The sequence below is a fragment of the Homo sapiens genome, chromosome 1, assembly GCF_000001405.40.
Source record: "Homo sapiens chromosome 1, GRCh38.p14 Primary Assembly".
Lineage (NCBI taxonomy): Eukaryota > Metazoa > Chordata > Mammalia > Primates > Hominidae > Homo > Homo sapiens.
In genome coordinates this window covers 194,973,141-194,979,739 of record NC_000001.11, presented here as the reverse complement: position 1 = coordinate 194,979,739, position 6,599 = coordinate 194,973,141, and positions in this window count along the sequence as shown.

The window sequence follows — 6,599 nt, the reverse complement described above, 5'->3', positions numbered from 1 at the left end:
TCCAACTACTCCAAAAATTGAGGCGGAGAAATTCCTCCTTAACTCATTCTATGAGGCTAGCAGTATCCCGATACCAAAACCTGGCAGGGACACAATAGCAACAAAAAACACTTTCAGGCCAATACACATGATGAACATAGATACAAAATTCTCAACAAAATACTAGCAAACCAAATCCAGCAGCACATTACAAAGCTAATCCACCATGATGAAGTAAGCTTTATCCCTGGGTTGCAAGGTTGGCTCAACATATGCATATTAATCAATGTGATTCATCACATAAACACAACTAACAAAAACTACATGATCATCTCAACAGATGCAGAAAAGGCTTTTGATAAAATTTAACATCTCTTTCTGCTAAAAAGTCCTCAACAAAGTAGGCATTGAAGGAACGTACTTCAAAATAAAAACAGCCATCTATGAAAAACCCACAGCCAGCATCATACTGAATGGGCAAAAGCTAGAAGCATTTCCCTTGAAAATGGCAACAAGACAAGAATGATGTTTCTCACCACTCTTATTCAACATAGTACTGGAAGTCCTAGCCACAGCAATCATGCAAGAAAAAAAAATAATAATAAAAGACATATAAATAGAAAGTGAGGAAGTCAAACTATCCCTGTTTGCAGACAATATAATTCTAGACTAGAAAACTGAAGGCATCACATTACTTGGCTTCAAACTACACTAAAAGGCTACAGTATACAGTAAGAGAAACAGCATGGTACTTGCTTTTGTACAAAAACCAACACATAGGTGAATGGAATAAGATAGAGATCCCAGAAATAAAGCCACACACTTACAACTATCTAATCTTCAAGAAAGTAAAATAATAATAATAATAATAATAACAATGGAGAAAAGGTTCCCTATTTAATAAAAGGTGCTGGCATAACTGGTTAGCCATATGCACATATGCCTAAGATTGAAGTGGGGCCCCTTTCTTATACCATATACAAACATCAAATCAAGATGGATTAAGTACTTAAATGTAAAACCTAAAACTATAAAAACCTTGGAAAATAAACTAGGAAATATGATTCTGGACATAGGCTCTGGCAAAAATTTCATGACAAAGACATCAAAAGTAATTACAAAAAAACCCAAAATTGACAATTGGGACCTAAATAAATTAAACAGCTTCTACACAGCAAAAGAAACTATCAATGGAGCAAACAGACAACCTACAGAAAAGGAGGAAATATTTGAAAACTATGCATCTGTCAAATATCTAATATCCAAACAACCACATTAAAAAGTAGGCAAAGGATATGAACAAACACTTTTCAAAAAAAGACAGACATGCAGCCAACAAGCATATTAAAAAGTGCTCAACATTACTAATCATTATTGAAATGCAAGTCCAAACCACAATGAGATACTATCTCACACCAGTCAGAAAAAAGACAAAAAATAACAGATGCTAGTGAGGCTACAGAGAAAAGGGAATGCTTATACACTGCTGGTAGAAATATAAATTAATTTACCCATTGTGAAAAGTAGTTTGATAATTTCTCAAATAACTTAAGACAGAACAACCCTTTGACCCAGCAATCCCATTATTGGGCATGTACCAGAAGGAATATAAATTATTCTGCCATAAAAATACACATATGCGGCTGGGCGTGGTGGCTCACCACTGTAACCCCAGCACTTTGGGAGGCTGAGGCGGGCGGATCGCGAGGTCAGGATACCGAGACCACGGTGAAACCCCGTCTCTACTAAAAATACAAAAAATTAGCTGGGTGTGGTGGCGGGCGCCTGTAGTTCCAGCTACTCGGGAGGCTGAGGCAGGAGAATGGCGTGAACCTGGGAGGTGGAGCTTGCAGTGAGCCGAGATCGCACCACTGCACTCCAGCCTGGGTGACAGAGCGAGACTCGGTCTCAAAAAAAAAAAAAAAAAAAAATACACACATGCATATATTCATTGCAGTACTATTACAATAGCAAAGACGTGGAATCAACTTAAGTGCCCATCAACAGTAGACTAGATAAATAAAATGTGGTACCTATACACCATGGAATACTATGAAAATCATAAAATGAATGAGATCCTGTCCTTTGCAGCAACATGGATAGATCTGGAGGCCAATATACTAAGCAAACTATCACAGGAACAAAAACCAAATATTGCATGTTCTCACCTATAAGTGGTAGCTAAATATTGAATATACATGGATACAAAGAAGGGAACAACAGACAATGGGCCCTACTTGAGGGAGAAGAGTGGGAGGAGGGTGAGAATGGAAAAACTACCTATTGGGCACTATGCTTATTACCTGGGTGATAAAATAATCTCTACCCTAGACACCTGTGACATACAATTTACCTATATAACAAACCTGCACAGATGCCTCTGAACCTAAAATAAAGGTTTTTTAAAGAAAAGGAAAAGAAAAAGCAATACAAAACTAACCTACTGCATGATGTCAGTCACTTCATCAATAGACATGTGGTACAGATGCTAGCCAGGAAACACCTGTTATCATTATAGACTCATTATTTTTATTTGTTTATTTTCTCTAGGTAAATAGTGTTTCTTTAGCTTATACTTTTACCAGAAACACAGAATATCACTGCTTGGCTTAGGAGAAATCGGGTTCATGGTATGTCTTCTAGACATTATTTGCAGAGTTTTATATGAAAAGTGCATTGAGAAATTGCAAACGTGAAACTTTTTAGCAAAGTTGTTAATACGATCTAAAATTGTTCTATATTATGAGAATATTATGGTGCACATTCTGGGTGAGCATTCTAGTGTACATTTTTGTATAAAATGTTACAGTTTGGGCAATACCCTGGATGAACTTTTTTATTCAAGATCCAAATATACTACTTTATATCATAGAACTTGGAGAGGAAATGAAAAGATCAGCTGCTTCTATATCAGAAAAAATTATGTGGTGATTCTTCTGTAGGACCCTAAGCACCTAGAATATCTGAGGGAGATGACAGAAGGAAATTCAAAGATAAATCAAAGTCAAAGTATAAACTTGGCTGCAAATAAGGAAACAACAGGGACATTCACAATACCTAAAGACAGTGAGTTGTAAGCACAGTATAGTAAGTTTAAACTGTCTATATGCTTGTGTATTCCAGTTAAGCATCCAGAACTTGAAGAGAAACTATGCAAAGCAGACTGACTTCTAAGGAAATAGTGACAACAGGGGCCATCATCAAGATCCCTATGTCAGGTTGTTCATCAGATCACATAGTCTTCTATTAGCATATTCTTTCATAAACCACTTTATTCAAAATTAATTCAGTGATCATTTTGCATTCTGCCATTACAACTATATTGACAACTAAAAGAGTCATGTCTTATCAAGTTTTTAATTTCCCAGATTGATTCTTTGAGCATTTAGGATATTCCTCCCTTGTGGATCATGATATATGAAACATATTCAGTCAACTCACATTTAGTTTCCACCAAATCTGTTTTTCTTACTGTTTGCCTGTTTTTCACTGAGGTATATTAATGTACAAGAAATGTTGATATTTTAAAAGTGTCATTCTATGAGTTTTGACAAATGTATGTGCTCATGTATATGCTCATGTATCAAAGACCCAAATGAATCAGGATATGGAAGGATTCCAAGTCACCAGAAAGTTTTCTTGTCACTTTTGAGTCATTCTCCATGCCTCATAAGCAAATAGCCCTTGTTTGTGATGAGTCATTTTAATTTTGCTCCTTTAAAGATTGCGCCCTGTCATTGTCTTCAAGAGTTTAATTATAATTAGTGTAAGCATGATTCTGTTTGCATTTATCCTACTTAGAGTATGTTCAGTTGCTTGGATGTAAACATCAACACTTTCATCTTATTTGAAAAGTTTCTGGCCTTTTTATCTTCAAATATTTTTTCTTCCTCTTTCTCTCCCCTTTTCTTCTGATATCATTATTATGTAAATGTTGGTGGGCTCAATGGTGTCCCATAGGTTTCCAAGTCTCTATTTAAATATAATGGCTTTTCTTCCTGTATTTTCTTTAGATTGGATAATATGTATTGATCTATCTTTCCATTTCCTGATTCTTTATTCTTCCAGCTAATATCTGCTGTCGAGCCACTCCAGTGATTTTTAAAAAGTATTTCAATTATTGTATTTTTGACTCTAGAATTTGTATTATTTAAAATATAATTACTATTACTTTATAATGTCTATTTGATGAGCCATTACTGTCATATTTTCCTTTAATTCTTTAAACACAGCTTTCTATAGTTGTTTTTAAAACATAGTTATTATTCCTGAGAAGTCTGTGTTAAGTCCAATATCTAGACCCTTTCAGAAGCAGTATCTATTGTTTTTTTCTTAATTTGAAAATCAGAAAGGTCAGTAAGAGGTCACCTATTCAATTATTTTTTTTTTTCAATTCTTTTTTTTTTTTCAGACAAGTTTTTGCTTTATCACTCAGGCTGGAGTGTAGTGGTGTGATCTCAGCTAGTTGCAACCTCCACCTCCTGGGCTCAAGAGATTCTTCCACCTCAGTCTGCTGAGTAGCTGGAACTACCGGTATCCACCAGCAACCAGCTAATTTTTGTAATTTTGTAGAGATGGGGTTTCTCCATGTTGCCCAGGCTGCTCTGAAACTCTTAGGCTCAAGCAATCCACCCACCTCAGCCCTCCATGGTGATGGAATTACAGGCATAAACCACTGTGCCCTGTGCATTATTATCTTTTGTATAGATAATACTTTTGTGTATCTCAGCATATCTCATAATTATTTATTATAACCTGACATTTTTGGTTTTACATTGTATTGATTCTGGATACTGACTCCCTTCCCCCGGGAATTATTATTGCTGCTTTTTTGTTTATGTATTTGCTTAGTTAACTCACTAGAAAAATTCTGTATGGTTTGTCTCCCTGATGATATGACATACTAGCAGGGTATGGCCAGTTATATCTATGAATATTTTCTTGTTGTTGCAGTTTTGTTTATGGTTTTTAAGCTTGAGTCACTTTGGGTCACCATAGTTTAGTGTCTGCCAATAAGTAGTCAGAAGTTGCACTTAAACATCTTGACCCTGCAAGCCTTCGGCTGTTTGTCACTAGGTCTGTAAGTAGTTTGAACACATTCAATATGTCAGTTTACATGTTGGCCCAACTTTTACTTTCTCCCTTTGCAAGGCCTTATGTTAAGCTAGTATTGATAGTTCAGCCCTTTCTAGTGTCTCCTGAGTGTACCTACCTCTTTGGCCATCAGTGCAGCCTTCCAGATTATTACAGAAACGCACTAAAGTCCATTGTGACTGTCTTTTTCCCCTGGTTCTTCTTGTTTAATTCTGGTTTGTGTATTGCTCATCCCAGTCTATAGCATAATGCTAAACTCACTTTAATATTGGACTTCCTTAGTTGTTTTTAATGAGAAATATATTGTTTTGGACAACATACATGGTCATGATTTTTTTCTTTTTTTTTTCAACTCTATTCACATCAAGTCATCCATTTGGGCACTGAAGCTGTACTCTTCCTGGCTTTCCCTGCCATGATAGAACTCATGCATGGAGGTATTGGGAATAGGAGTCATATCAGCCCCAGCCTAAAATATCAAAGACTCCCACTGTTCTTACTAAGGTTCAGTTTTTTTTTCTTAAATAAAAACTTAATTTTGTGTGTGCCTCTGGTCAATTTCCAGACTTCTGATTTGTTGTTTTCAATAATTTTGATCCATCTTATTGCTGCATAGAGAAAAAGGTTTTGGTAAGCTTCTTAGTTAGCCATTCTGGAAATCGCATTCTTGGTCACTTCTGCTTTTGTAAAAATTTCTCTCCCAAGGCCTCCTTATTGTATGTTGTGGATCTTTTGGCAGCACAAACCATAAATCCTGAAAATATATGACTATTTTACCATTGACAAACAGCCTAAATTTAAGCATTGATATCTTGCTTTATTTAAACATTAAGAAATAAAATAATTTTTTTTGTGTGTGTGGGAGGTCTGTGTATGTGCATGTGATGATAAATACATCGTCTAAACTTAAGAGTGGTGGTTTTGGGGCATTTAAAATCAGAAAAATGGCATTAGGAAGTTCTCATTGTAATTCCATGAATAAATGAAGGCAAATTTTCTAGCCCTTTTGACAGATTGATCACTGCATGCAAAAAAAGACTTAACATGAGTACACTACTGACTGTGATTGAAAGTTTTGCTTATTTGTTTTGTTTTCTATAATTTAACTTTTATTTTAGATTTGTGGATATATATACAGGTTTGTTGAATGCATATACTACATGATGCTGAGGTTTGGGATATGAATCATCCTGTCATCCAGGTACTGAGGATAATACCAATAGGTAGTTTTTCAACAGTTTCCCCCTTCCCTACTCCTTCCCTCTAATAGCCTCAACTGTTTATTGTTGACATCTTTATGTCCATGAGTAGCCAATGTTCAGTCCCTTCTAATAAGTGAGAACAAACGATATTTGATTTTCTGTTTCTGCATTAATTCCTAGAGGATAATGGCACCCAGTTGCATACATGTTGGTGAAGAGGACCTGATTTCATTCTTTTTATGAATGGATTCTTTTTATTGATGGGCACCTAGGATGACTTTTTGTCTTTGCTATTGTGAATAGTGCAGTGATAAACATATAAGC